The sequence below is a fragment of the Homo sapiens genome, chromosome 10, assembly GCF_000001405.40.
Source record: "Homo sapiens chromosome 10, GRCh38.p14 Primary Assembly".
Taxonomy (NCBI): Eukaryota; Metazoa; Chordata; class Mammalia; order Primates; family Hominidae; genus Homo; species Homo sapiens.
In genome coordinates, this window is record NC_000010.11 from 82,413,658 (window position 1) to 82,428,271 (window position 14,614).

The 14,614-nt window shown below is 35.1% G+C and overlaps 1 protein-coding gene across 25 annotated transcripts in view; it reads left to right on the top strand.

Moving 5' to 3' along the window:
* Positions 1-14,614, top strand: part of NRG3 (neuregulin 3) — a 1,111,986-nt gene that overhangs the window by 538,464 nt on the left and 558,908 nt on the right. Inside the window, exon 3 of one of the 25 annotated variants that reach the window (NM_001370083.1) lies at positions 6,312-7,536. The exons of the other annotated variants lie outside the window; for them this stretch is intronic. Coding sequence (NP_001357012.1) covers positions 6,312-6,321 — 10 coding nt within the window. The 3' untranslated portion in view covers positions 6,322-7,536. Of the gene's footprint in view, positions 1-6,311; positions 7,537-14,614 lie in introns of those variants that run through there. 25 annotated transcript variants of the gene reach the window in all.

Here is a 14,614-nt window from a genome sequence, read left to right on the forward strand (position 1 = left end):
TGTTTCATCCATATTGAAAACCTGTTGTTTATTGTAGCCACCTTCATCAATTATCTTAGCTAGATCTTCTTGATTACTTGCTGTTCCTTCTACATCAACATTTGCTGTTTCACATGTACTTTTATTTTATGGAGATGGCTTCTTTCCTTAAACCTCGTGAAGCAACCTCTGCTGGTTCCCAACTTTTCTTCTGCAGCCTCCTCACCTCTCTCGGCCTTCATAGAATTGAAGAGAGTTAAGGCTTTCTTGTGGATAAAGCTTTGGTTTAGGGTAATGTTGTGGCTCGTTTGATCTTCTATTCAGACCACTAAAACTTTCTCCATATTAGCAATAAGGCTTTTTTGCTTTCTTATTATCTGTGTGTTCATTGGAGTAGCACTTTTAATTTTCCTCAGGAACTTTTCCTTTGCATTCACAACTTGGCTCAATGTTTAGCACAAGGAGCCTGGATTTCCACCTGTCTCAGCTTTTGACATGCCTCCCTCACTAAGCTTAATCATTTCCAGCATTAGGTTAAAAGTGAGAGAGAATGTGACTCTTCCTTTTGCTTGCTCACACAGAGGCGGTTGTAAGTTTATTAATTGGCCTAATTTTAATATTGTGTGTCAGGAAATAGGTAGACTGAGAAGAGGGAGAGAGAAAGGGAATGGCTGGTTGGTGAAGCAGTCAGAACACACATAACATTTATTGATTAATGTCACTGTCTTATATGGGCATGGTTTGTGCTGCACCAAGACATTTACGGTAGTAACCTCTTAAAGATCAGGATTACAGATCATCATAACAGATATAAAAATCATGAAAAAGTTTGAGATATTAAGAGAGTTAATGAAAGACACACAAAGACAGGAAGTGAGCACATGCCGTTGGTAAAATGGCACTGATATAAACTTCCTCGATGCAGGGTTGTCACAAACCTTTAATTTGTAAAAAACTCAGTATCTGCAAATTGCAATCAAGTGAAGCACAATAAAATAAGCTATACCTTTAGGGTCCAATCTGTGGAGAAAGGAATGAATAAATATGGTTATATCAATCAGGGTTCCCCCAAGAGACAAAACCAACAGAAGATATATGTGTGTGAGCACACAGAGAGAGAGAGATGATTGATTTTGATTTTAAGGAATTGACTCATATAATTGAGTGTTGGCAAGTTCAAAGCCTGTAGGCAGACCAGCAGGCTGAAAACAGGAAGGATTCTTGTATTACAGTCTTGAGGAAGAACTCCTTCTTTCTGAAAACCCTCAGTTTTTGCTCTTAAGGCCTTCAACTGATCGGATGAGGCTCACTCATCACCCATTATCAAGGATAATCTCTTTTATTTAAATCAACTGATCATAAATATTAATCAACTCTATAAAATACCTTATTAGCAACATCAAAACTACTATTTCACCAAACAACTGAGCACCATCATTTAGCCAAATTGACATTAAAATTAACCATTCCAGAGGGAAACATTTGGTGAGGTCAGATTTACAAATAATGAGTTGCAGATACTGCTGGATTATATGGGTAAAAATGCTCAGTGAAGTCTTAGAAATGAAAGCAATTCATGAGCAATCAATCTGCCTTCACTTTTTCACCTATTTTTATTCAGAAAGTCACTTAGTCTGGAAAATGTCGTTCATATGGTTGCATGCCCTATTGTTAAGTGAATGAGTGTTTCAAGGGCTTTCCTGTTAGGTTTATTTCATTTAGCTCTGTTGCAGCATTACGATGTAAGTGCTTACCACAAAGGTTTGCTAATGAGTGCCCTTAATTTGTATTCAGATGGGAGCAAAGAGAAGGAAAAATACACAAGAAGGAGTCTTGTAATTATGCTACATAAAATTATTAGGCAATTTAGAAAATTGTCAGTGGGAAACTGCCCATCATGCATAAAAATAATTTTGATTTTGATGTACAGAGTTTAATGTAAGAGTGATTGTAGGGAGACCATGTTATTAATTTTTCCCTTAATTATCCAAGCACACTTGAATTTATTTTAAGGAAAGTGATACTTTATAAAGTTGAGTCACGCTACTCCAGAGAATACTTGTTTTCGTTCTGTGACAAAGTTTATTTTGCAGGGCTTGCTGTGAACTGTATAATTGGTAGGACGTGAAAGAACCATTAATTATGTCCTTCCCCTTCCCCTAATCATAAATAACAAAATGATGCTATATTTTCTGGCAAACTAAAGTATATGTGATGTAAAGATGTTCAGGTAATTTGTGGGCTTATCTATTGTCTTAAATATAGAACTACTTTTCACTCATTTTTGGCATACACAGTTGTGTATTCAGATAATTGTCAGTGCAATGCTAAATGTGTTATGTTAAAAAATGATGAACATATTACCTCTCAGTTCTTGTTATAGATAATTTCTTGCAAATTTTAAGCTAGAGATAGTCAATATTTAATCAGAGAACATCTTCCCAGGATTCAAAGTATACCACATCAGCTGTTGAATGCAGTTAATTTGCATTAATGTGTTACAAATCAATGTTCTGTAGTATTTTAGGAACTGTAAAACATACCTTTCAAGACAAAGTCCAAACTCTTTAGTATGCAATATGTAGTTAACCTATTCTGGAATGTCTCTTCTAACTGAGAGCCACCCTGTAGGGAATTACCTTAGTCTTTTAATTCCTGTTTGTATCAGGTGACTTAGCAACCACCTGCATAGCAGGAAGACGGCACCAAGGAATATATTCATCCCCTTACATAGTTTGAACTATGTGACCAAGAAATTACAGTCCATTTGTATAGAGTGCCAAGCTCTGAAGGCTGGAAGACATGTAAGTTCATGTATAAGCATAAGAAGGTTGTCCATAGAATGAAAAGAGAGGAGGAGAGAGTTAAGGGCCATCTGGGCTCCCAGAGAAAGTGAGCTCAGGTCCCCTTTGGGCCCTAAGGATGAAACAACTGCCCTTTGCCTGGATTCACTTGACTGGGTTCTTTGCTGTCATTGGTAGACACATAGAGCCCTCCTGTCTGCTTTAGTCTTGTTCTACCTTCTCAGCCTCATATAGCAATACCTCTTATATTCTGCCCCCACCCACCCTGACCATCTCAGTGATTTTTGAATAAATCTTGTCTTTCACTCGCCTCTGCCTTTGCGTAGAGGATACCTGCTGTGCAAAGGTGATGTGAGAAAGTCAGGTCTAAATTCACCTCCAGACTCTGCCTTTGGTGGGCTGTGTAATATTATGCACATCACTTCAATCCTTAGATTTCTCATGTCTAGTATGGAGGAAATAGTACTTAACATGGAGACTTTTCAGGAAAATTAAGTGAGGTATTATCCACACAGCCCTCATAATGGTGCCCAACACTGTGGTTATCAATAGATTTTAGTACCATTTTTGCCAGAAAGTTGAGGCAGATTCTAATCCAACTTTTAATATCCAGATCTATCCATTATTCCCTGATTCAGTCCCCAAGGTCACTCATTCTTTCCCTTCAGCTCCACAAAAAATCCACTTACAAATATTTTATACACTAAATCACATCATAATCATTATGGATTTCTCCAAAATTAAAGTAACAACTTTTTCTGGTTCTCTGAAAATATGAATAAAAGAGGCTGATAATGCTGCATGCCCAGAGGTGAACATGGTTCAATAAGAGAGAGAGACCTTGTGGAAGTGATGCTGGAATTGAAATCCAAGGATTGAGTAGTGGCAATGGAAGAAGAGAATAGTATTCCAGGCAAAATACATGGATATAGATTCCAGGGGAATTATGTATGAAGAAGGAGCATAGTGAAACTTAGGCCCTGCAAGGCCAGTGCAGCAGAGATAAGCCTGTTTCCTTGGGTAATGGTAGGGACTGTAGGGCACAGTGAACAGTGTTTATGTCATTCTATAAATAATACTGATAGGACCACTTATTGAGTACTTCTTACATGCCAGAAGTTCTTTGGTGCTTTCATTACATTAACTTATGCTATTGTCCACAGTATTCTAAGGTGGTTGCTATTAGATTTCCAATTTTACAGAAGGGGAAACTGAGGCACGGGGCGGTGAAGTAACTCCCAGAATGTTCACAGTCAGCGAAATGGTGGATTCTGAATACAAATGAACACAATGAGGCTCCAGGTTTCCTGCTTATTATCACCGCGAAGCCCAGCCTCAGCGAGCAAGGGAAGGAGCTAGAGAGCGGGCTCCCAGGCACATCTGCATGTGTGCACTGGCCTTGTAACATCAGTCTGGCTCTTAAGAGCTGATCAGAAAGAGGACAGAAGGGGAGCTGGCACACTGGTTAGGTGAAATGAGAAAGCTCAATGAGTGATGATGGTAATTCAGACTAGAATAGTTAGTGTTATTTTGTGAAAGGAAATTTCAATTTAACCAGAGCACCTTGAAGTGAAGGCTTTGAATTGGAAAGAAGGTTTTAAATTGCTATCAGAATTTGCCATTTTAGTGATTGAAACATTTTAGGGCCAAATGTGCCATGCTGCACCTTTCCAGAAGGAACTATTTGAGGGAAATAACTGTCAGCTCCTATAGTACCAGTGTTTAAAATGTAAGTTTAGGGAGAAAGGCAGTTCACCTTCTCTCCAGGTGGGGACTGACTGAGGTGTTGAACAACCAGATTTGGGGATGGTATTTTTTGAATTTAATTAACTGCTACATGTGAACTAGTAAGATCAAATCACCCACAAGGTAGATATTTGAGAAACTCAGTGTAAATGTGGAAAAGTTGATGTTATGTTCCAAAGATGTAATAAAAAATTAACCAGTTTATGCAAATGTTTATGCAAATTAACCAGTTTATGCAAATGTTTATGCAAATTAACCAGTTTATGCAAATGAAAAGAGGAGGTAAGAAGGTATAAGATGCTATGTTTGCATCATTCACTGGGAACATTTGAACTTTGCAGATTAATGTCCTTGGTGGAAGAAGTTATGACATTATGTTATTTGTTGGGGAAAAACCCTCCAGTGTAAAGACTTTTATTTATTTATTTATTAAAGGCAGGATCTCACTCTGTTGCCTAGGCTGGAGTGCAGCAGTTTGATCATAGCTTACTGTAGCCTCAAATTCCAGGGCTCAAGCAATCCTGCCTCCTCAGCCTCCTGAGTAGCTAGTACAATACATGCCACCATGCCCTGCTAATATTTTTTTCTTTTTTTTTTGGAGACAGAGTCTCCCTATGTTGCCTAAGCTGGTCTCAAACTCCTGGTCTTAGGCAATCCTCGCACCTCAGGCTCCCTCAGCACTGGATTACAGAATACTTAAAAATAACATAAATCAGTCAGATATTTAAGCCTCACAAACTTTTCCTGAAGATTTACTGAGCTACTTCTTCAGATGAAAAAGACATTTTGTAATAAATGGTTTCTGAAAAACCAAACCCTCAAAATTGTAACTGGGATGGATATGATTAGTGAAACACATTAAACTTAACCCTACAGGGATAAACCAAGAGCGCTACTGATGTTTATAAGGAAATACAAGCATTACATCTTAAACTAGACAAGTTTCCACTGCTGAGCTACCCTGAGCTTAGTGAAATTAACTATTTTCACAAAATGGAAATCCATTAATGGAAATGACATCATAAATTCAGAAAAGATTCTTAGATTTTAATATACTTTTCCTAATTTAAGGCAAATTGAGCCACCAAGAATTGAAAGAGAACATATTTGGATAATTGAAAGGCAGAGTTTAAACATTCCGGAAATAACTATCTGCACTTTCAAATGCAAGGTCTTGCTTAGGTTTGGAACAACACAGGTTTTCTTGATCACTTGTCTAAAACAGTAACTGAGAGCCACACAACACAACCTCGTTTTATAAAGGTTGTCTCTGATACTTAGAAAAATCTAAATGTTTCTGTACTTTTGCAAGTTACTAAAGTCTTTCCATTAAATTATTTGACTTTTTTTTCTCCCGCCCAAAAAGTGATTAGCGCACAACAAAATGTGTGTGATTTGTTAATGGAGTATTCTTTCATTGCAGATTTATATGTTCTTAAAACAGTGCAAGCCTTTTGTGGAAATAATGTATTTTGAAATCATATATTCTTATATACATGTCTCTAAAAGTTCATCAAATAAAACGTAGGAATAGACATTTTTACAAACAGAAAACAGTCATGTGGTTCTGCTATCCAAACACAGTGACATGATCTTTTAGAGTTTATTTTCAGTCTTTTACATATTGACCCTGTTTTTCCTCCATATTTGTATTCTTTTAGGTTTGTTTACAGAGTTGTAATAGAGCATTTGTGTGAAGCAGTTTATATGGTAAGTGACAGAAATTCAGCTCAGAGACACTAATATACTCACAGGATGTATTGGTCTATATTGTTCCTCTAGGAAGGTGTGATCCAGAAACTCAAGAGAAGTCATCAAGGACTCAGTCTCTCTACATATTTTTCTTCCTTTATAAGTAAATGGCCTGCAAATCTTTTCTCATTTCTGCCGCTCTCCCTGAAGGACCTGGTAGAGTACTTCCTTTTGAAATATCTGGCTGCAGTTGGCCTATAGCTCAGTCTGGGTTTCTGGCTTGTTCTGTGCATTTGTTTTTCGTGCTTCAATTAGCCATTGTGTCCTGGTAATGGAAGGAAACAATCCTCAGAGATCTTGTCACACTAAGTCTGTGGCACAATTTGAAACATTCAGTAATACCAGCTGTTCTAAGCAGAACAGAAGTCATAATTAGGGATGCAATGATTTCACACTAAACTGTAGTTACAGAATATATAACTACATTTTAATGCTCATCAATTTTTATCTTATACTGTATTTATCTTCAAAGAACAAATGAACCAAGTGAATTGGATTTCAGATACACAGAGCTGGATTTATCTAATATTCCCTTTCTCATCTTCTGCTGTAAAAAAATTATTTCTTCTTATGTAAACTACCTAAGAAGTATCTTTTCCTCCCAGAATACTGTAGCTTTGTCTGCTCAAATCCAAATTATATAAAATGGCAAAGCTGCTCTGGAACACATTTTGGCTGTTTAATACACAGTTAAACATACAATTTCCATGTGACCTCATCATCCCACATCCAGGAAATTATCCTAAAGAAATAAAATTGATGTTCATGTATAAACCTGCTTAATAATTTTTTAGAAAAGTACCATTGCCAAGAACTGGAAACAACCCAAATTTCCTTCAGTGGGAGAATGGACAAAAACTATGGTATATGCATAAAATGGACAATAAAAAGGGAAAAATTATTGATATGTGCAATCTGGATAAATCTGTAGAGGCATCAGTATAAGTGACTGTAGCTAGATTAAATACTTTGTAATTCCATTTATGACATTCTGAAAATGTAAAAGTATAGGGACAGATTGGAGATTGCCAGGGATTGGCAGTGACAGAAGGGTGTGTTAATTACAGGGGCAGCATGAGGCATTTCTTTATGGTGCTGGGATCATCAGTATCTGTTTGTGCTGGTGGTTGCAAGAATCTTCATATGGGCTAAAACTCATACAACTGTATAGCAATAATGTGAATATTACTGACTGTTAAATAAGATATCTATGAGTGAACCTTCACTAGGCAAATAAAATAAATAAGTATTAACACCTGTGACTCATATCTGTTGTCATTTTCCAAAGCTTGAAGCCCAGCATAACATCATGCTTGGTTTTCCAATTCATCATGCTTTTGATCTTTGTATGACACATGCAGAATTTGGGAAACATCTTGGGAGATAATGAGTTTTTAGTAATTTGGGAGATAATGAGTGCTATGTTGGGATAAGTTAACACTTGTTTTGTTAAATATTACATGGAAGGGAATAGAGAAAAAGTCTATGCGGCAACAATGATGTACTCTTAGCATGACACATGGAAGCTTATGAAAAATTATTAAAGACTTTGCACTCAGTTACCAAAAAAAAAGTCTATTATGTAAGAGATCTGGATCACCCCCAGCAGATGTAGGGCTGAATTGTTGGTTGCTGTTCATCTGTAAAAAATGAATTTCCCAAATGCTTCTCTAGTGCTTATTCAGCTCTGCTTAGAGAAGTTTTATCCTTGCATTTATTTTTTTCTTTTCGTGGCCATAGTGAGAATGGTATTAAGAACTGGGCTAAGCCCCAGTTCTGCATCTGCTTGCTCCTTTAAATTAGTGAGAGCAAGCTCATTCTAGTTCAGTTCCTGAGTAGCTGTAATTAATGGTTTGTAGTATTCACATGGCTTTTGAAAAGGACCCCTTTCTCTCTTTAAAGCACCTTTAAACTTTCTAGAAAAAAACCATGTAATACTGCCTTGAAAACAGTCCCTTCTGGGTGTCATTTCAACTACTTTCGGTTCAACTTCAAGTTGTCCAGGGAAAATAAACCCATCAAGTAGTGCCTGCATTGTTAGCTTGAGAACCAGAAGGAACTTCGACCACATTTGCTTTTGAGAATGTAATAATTTACATGTGATATATGATCGTTTAGTTAAGCAACAGTGATACAGAGGAGCTTCACCTTGGCCTCATCCATTGATTGTGCAGATTTCAATACACTTGTTTAAGCTTTGTGGATGTGGTTGTTCATTCAATCAACAGAAGTTTACTTTTGCCTATCCTGGACCAGAAATCAGACATAAGCTCAGGATATTAAAAGATGCTTATATGTGTGTTTGGGGAAAGGGATAAGAAAATGTAGAGAAAACAGAGAAAAGTACATGTTGTGAGATATGTTTGATAAAATCTGGGTTGATCAAATTTAAACAAGATTCCAGAATTTGTAATGTATTAATATGCACAATGACCTTTCAAGAATGGAATCTAATGTGCAATGATTCTCAAATCTCTCTGACTGGGAAAGCCCCTGTTAATTTTTCTCAGAGAACTTTATAATTGTAGTATCCTTTTCTACACACTTTGCAAAATGTATGGATGTTAGCAAAAAAAAATTATCTTTTATGTATTGATTATTATCAGCAATGCTTCTTACTGCCTCAGAGCCAGAGAAATTGCAAGCAGTGCCTGAAGTGTTGTTTGCCAAGCTTCTGGTAACATACAACATTGTTTTTTGTTTTGTTTTGTTTTGAATTACTGTTTATCAAATAGAAATTTAGCTATGTCAGTGGTCAGAATTGTGGAAATAGTATACATACAAACTTGTTTTGTTTTGGGAAGAACTAGATGATTAAGGCAGCTTTGCTATGTGGTAAATTATATTTTATGCCTGGGTAACAGTTGTCAACTAAAAATGGGAGATTTGCTGTCAGAACTTGTTGAGAGTGGCATGCTCAGTGTATAAGTAGGTTTCCTGCCATAACTACATTGAGTATATGCATTATATAAATGATATATGAGTTTTTAGTAATTTGAAGAGAAATGTAATACCTAAATACATTTTCCTTTCTGTTACTTACCCCATATAGTTTTGCAACATTTAGTGCCAAGCTAAGGTGACTTTTGATTATTGAATTAACTTCTTAATTCCAAAGAGTTTGTGCACATCAATAGAATTTTGTTCAAATAAATTAGACTATAGACTAAAAACAATTTCTAGAAAAACATGTTGGCTTGCCACTTAAGATTATTTCTCTGATGTCTAAAACAAATTGAAACTTAGTTTCAATGTAGCATTGTATTTAATATAATCATAATTTCAACTGTTTTAGGAAAATATTTTATTAATAAACCACCATAGTCCATCAAACAGATAATCTGTATTATACTAGCATGTTAGCTTAAAATGATTTTGTATATATTATCGTTATAATTATATATATCTAATGATTGAAGAAAGAGAACTGATCCACTACATTGTTGTTGAAAGTGAATTTAGAATGAGTTATATGTTAATGCAATCTTGCTATCTTTGGCTGATTCTGGAAGGAGTTGAAACCTTAATTGATCAATCACTTGATTCAGCTGAAACTTAGAGTGAAGATTTAAAGTGTTCTTAATTTGATCAAAATGGCAATTTTTTTTTCTGAATCCAATATGTGGAGGGAAACACAAGGAAACAGTAATTACCATTATGAAAGTTTCATGAAATTATGGTGACACTTTTAAGTCTATTTTTTAAAGAGCTTTATTGAGAAACAATTCACATACTATGTAATCCCCCTTTTAAAGTGGGTCATTTAAAGGTGTTGATATTCACATAGCAGTGCAATCACCGCCACTATTTAATTTTAGCATATTTTCATCACTCAGAAAGAAACCTCATACCATTAGCTGTTAGTCTACATTCGCCCATTTTCCATAACCTGACAACCACTAATCTACGTATGTATTTGTCTAGTATGGACATTTCATACAAATTGAATCCTACAACATGTGATCATTTGTCCCTGGCTTCTTTAAATTAACAAAATTCTTTCAAAGTTTATCCGTGTTGTAGCATGAAGTACTTCAGCCTTTTATGAGTGAATAATATTCCATTGTATGGGTATATCAGATTTTCTTTATTCATTCATCAGCTGATGGACATTTGGCTTGTATCTACATTTTAGCTATGGTGACTAATGCTTCTATAGACATTTGCCCAAAAGTTTTTGTATGGACATATTTTTTCACTTCTTTTGAGCATGTACCCTAGGGATGGAATTGCTGGATCACATGGTAATTCTGCATTTAACATCTTCAGTAACTGCCAAACTGTTTTCTGTTTTGCAAAGTGGCTCTAGCATTTTAAATCCCACCAGCAAAAATGTGAGGGGACCAATTTCTCTATATCTTCATCCACAGTTATTATTGTCTGCCTTTTTTGATATTAATCATCCTATTGGATGTGAAGTGGCACCTCATTGAGGTTTTGATGTGCATTTCTTGATGAATGATAATGAGCACTTTTTGTATGCTTATTGGCCATTTATGCATTTTTGGAGTAATATTTTTCAAATTATTTTCCTATTTAAAAATTGGGTGATTTGTGTTTTTATCATTATTATATGACATTTTCATATGTTCAGGATACAAATCCCTTTTGAGGCATATGACATCCAAATATTTATCCATTTTGTGAATTATCTTTTCATTTTATAAAATTGTATCCTTTAAAGTGCAAAAGAGTTAATTTTGACAAAGTTAAATTTACACATTTCTTTTTTATTGTTGCTGACCTTTTGTTGTTATTTCTAGTAAACTATCACCTAACTCGAGGACACAAAGATTTACTCCTATGCTTCTTTTAAAATTTTTATAGTTTTAGCTCTTACATTTAGGTCTATGATCTATTTTGAGTTAACTCTTCATATGGTATGAGGTCAGGTTCCAAATTTATTCTTTTGGATGTGGGTATCTAGTTGTCTCAGCAGTTTATTTAAAAAAAAATTCTTTCCTCCACTGAATTGTCTTAGCACCCATATAGAAAATCAATTGACCATAAATGCAAAGATTTATTTCTAGACTCTCAAATCTATTCCATTGATCTATATGTATATTGAAATACAAATTCCATAGGTCTTGATTGCTGTGTTGATTACTGCAAGTTTGTAACAAGTATTGAAATTATGAAGTGTGGGTCCTCTGCTTTGTTCTTTCTCAAGATTGTTTGGTTATTCTGGAATCTTGAAATTCTCTACGAACTTAGGATTAACTTTTCAATTTTGGCAAAAAGGCCAGCTGGGGTTACAGTAGGGATCACATTGAATCTGCTCATCAACTTGGGGACTATAGATATTATAACAATATTAAGTCTTCTGATTCATTACATTGGGTCTCATTTCAAATATTTAGGCTTTCTTAATTTTTTCAACAATGTTTGTTGCATAATGGAAGACTTGTATTGTTTTTCTTAAGTTTGTTTTTAAGTATTTTATTTGTAATGCTATTTTAAATGGAGGTTTTTTTTTTAGAGTTTCCATTTCTCTGCTTGCATTACCCATCTGCTTTTGTATGTTGTCCTTTTCTTTTCCCCATTAGAACTCTTAGCAAATTAATCATAGTTATTTTAAATTTCTGTTCTGCTAATTCCAAAATGTGTATTATATCTAAGTCTTGTTTTAACGCATGCTTTGTCTCTTCAGGCTGTGTTTTTTATTTGTTTATTTGTTTTCTTTTGGTGTGACTTGTAATTATTTTGTTGAAAGCCACACACGGTGTATTGGATAATAAGAACTGAGAACATTAGTCTTTGATTGAGATTTTATGTTCATTTGCCAAGCAAATGTGTTTACTGTTTGTTGTAGTTATGATTTCAGACACTAAATTTTTATCTAATGTTGTGTTTGAGTCTTGCCTGTTGTCTTTGGGTTCTCCTAGAGACTCCTTCTTAAATAGTTCATTAGCCTTGTAGTTTTTTGTTCTAGCCTGTTATTATAGAAGAGTCCTATTGATGTGGTGATAAGCTGCCGTGAGAGGGGAAGCATTTTACAAACCTGTGATTAGATCTGAACCTTTTAGTGAACATGTGTCCCTGAGATGTGACCATCACAAATAATTCTTGGCTTTCCACCTTCCTCTAAGGTAAAACGGGTTTTGCTAGAGTCTAACCAACCTCAGACAAAGGAAATACCCAACTCCAGCCCACTCTAGCCTTTCGGCTCAGGTAGTATTATTTCCATTGAGGGCAGACCTTTCTTAAGAACAGAGCACTCTGGGTATATTTCAAAATACAACACCAGAGGTTTTTCTCCCATCTTCACTCTGAGACCCCTGGTGGGACTCCTGAAGGTAAAAGTTATGAAAGTGTGTGAGGGCTCCCGCTAAAGCTGGGACAAGAGGAATTTTAATTTCTCATTATAGTCCACGCTCAGTCTCCAGTAGTGAGTAAGTTCATTTTTAATGATTTATGACTGTTGTTGTCTCCAATAGTGGCTTCCGTTGTTCCTTGTAAGCTCTATGTATTCAAATGTGTCTCTAGTTTTGTATAATGGTTGTTTGCCCTGTGACCTAAATTCTCTGATATATCTAAGAAAAGTTATCTATTTTCAGGTTTTTTTTTTTTTAGCTTCTTTCTTGTTGTGAGGACAGGAAATGGATGACAGCTTTCAAGCTTTTTACCTTTTGGACTGAAAGTTGAAAGTCCTCAATGGAATTATTATTATTATTATTATTATTATTATTATTATTATTATTATTATTATTTTGAGACAGGGTCTCACTTTATTACCCCAGCTGGAGAGCAGTGGATGTGATCTTGGCCCACTGCAGCCTTTGCCTCCTGGGCTTAAGTGATTCTCCAGCCTCAGCCTCCTGAATAGCTGGGACTACAGACATGCACCACCACGCCCAGCTAATTTTTGTAATTTTTAATTTTCTTTTCTTTTGGTAAAGATGGAGTTTCACCATGTTTTCCAGACTGGTCTCGAACTCCTGGGTTCAAGCAATTCATCCACCTCAGCCTCCCACAGTGCTGGGATTACAGGCATAAGCCACTGTGCCCAGCCTGGAATTCTTTTCTTAATTTCATTTTCAGATTGTTCATTGCTAGTGTATAGAAATATGACTGATTTTTGTATATAGGCCTCATATCGTGCAATCATACTGAACTTTTAAATTCGTTCCAGTAGGGTATGTGTGGGTGTGCATTTGTGTGTTTTGGTATTTTTGCAAGATAATATCATCTTCAAATAGAGATGGTTTTACTTTTTCATTTTCAATCTTGTCTTTTATTTCTTTCTTAACTGATTGTCCTAGCTAGAACCTATACTGCAATGTTGAATATAAGAAGCAAGAACAGGTATGTTGTCTGTTTTTTATTTTAGGGGGAAAGCGCTCTATCTTGCATCATTCATTATAATGGTGTTGGTTTTTCATAAACGCTCCTTATGAGTGTGTGAAAGTTCTTTTTTATTCCTAGTTTTCTGACAGTCTTTCTTATGAAAGAATGTGAGACTTTTTGCCAAATGCTTTTTCTACTATCATGGAGATTATAAGTTATTTATATTTGTCCTTTAGTCTATTGATATGATGTATTACATCGATTAATTTTTGGATATTAAGACAACCATAAATTTATACAATAAGTAAAAAATGTTTATGTTGTACAATCCTAGTTATATGTTGCTAGATTTGGTTTCTTACTATTTTGTTGAGTTGTATTTTGTATGTCTATGTTCAGAAGGAATATTGGTTCGTAGCTTTGTGTTCATGTTTGTTTTGCTTTTCCTTGTGAGGTCTTTCTTGCTTGGTTATGTATCAGAATAACACTGGTCTCACTTTGAGTCAATAAGTGATTCTTCCTCTTCCTTTATTTTTTGGAAGATTTACAAAGGACTGGTATTAATTCATCTTTAAACATTTGGTAGATTTTATCAGTGATGTCATCTGGGCTTGGTCTTTTATTGTAGGAGGTTTTAAAATTACTAAACTGATTTTATTTATTTGCTATATATATTCAGATATTTTATTTCTTCTTAAGTCAGATTTTATAGTTTGTACCCTTTTAAGAATTTGTCCATTTCATTAAGATTATTTAATTTGCTAACAACAGTTGTTCATAGCATTCCTTATTCTTCTTATTTTCCTCTAAGTTTGGAAGTGATATCTCCTCTTTCATTTCTGGCTAGCAATTTGAACTTCTGTATTCATGGTTAGTCTAGTTAAAAATTTTTCAATTTGGTCGATCTTTTTAATGAGCTAAAGTTTTGTTTTGTTGAGTTTCTCTATATTTTTAGTTCTCTACTATTTTTTCCAATCTAATCTTTATTATTTTCTTTTCTTCTGCTTATTTAGTTTGCTCTTATTTCTCCACTTTCTTAAGGTATA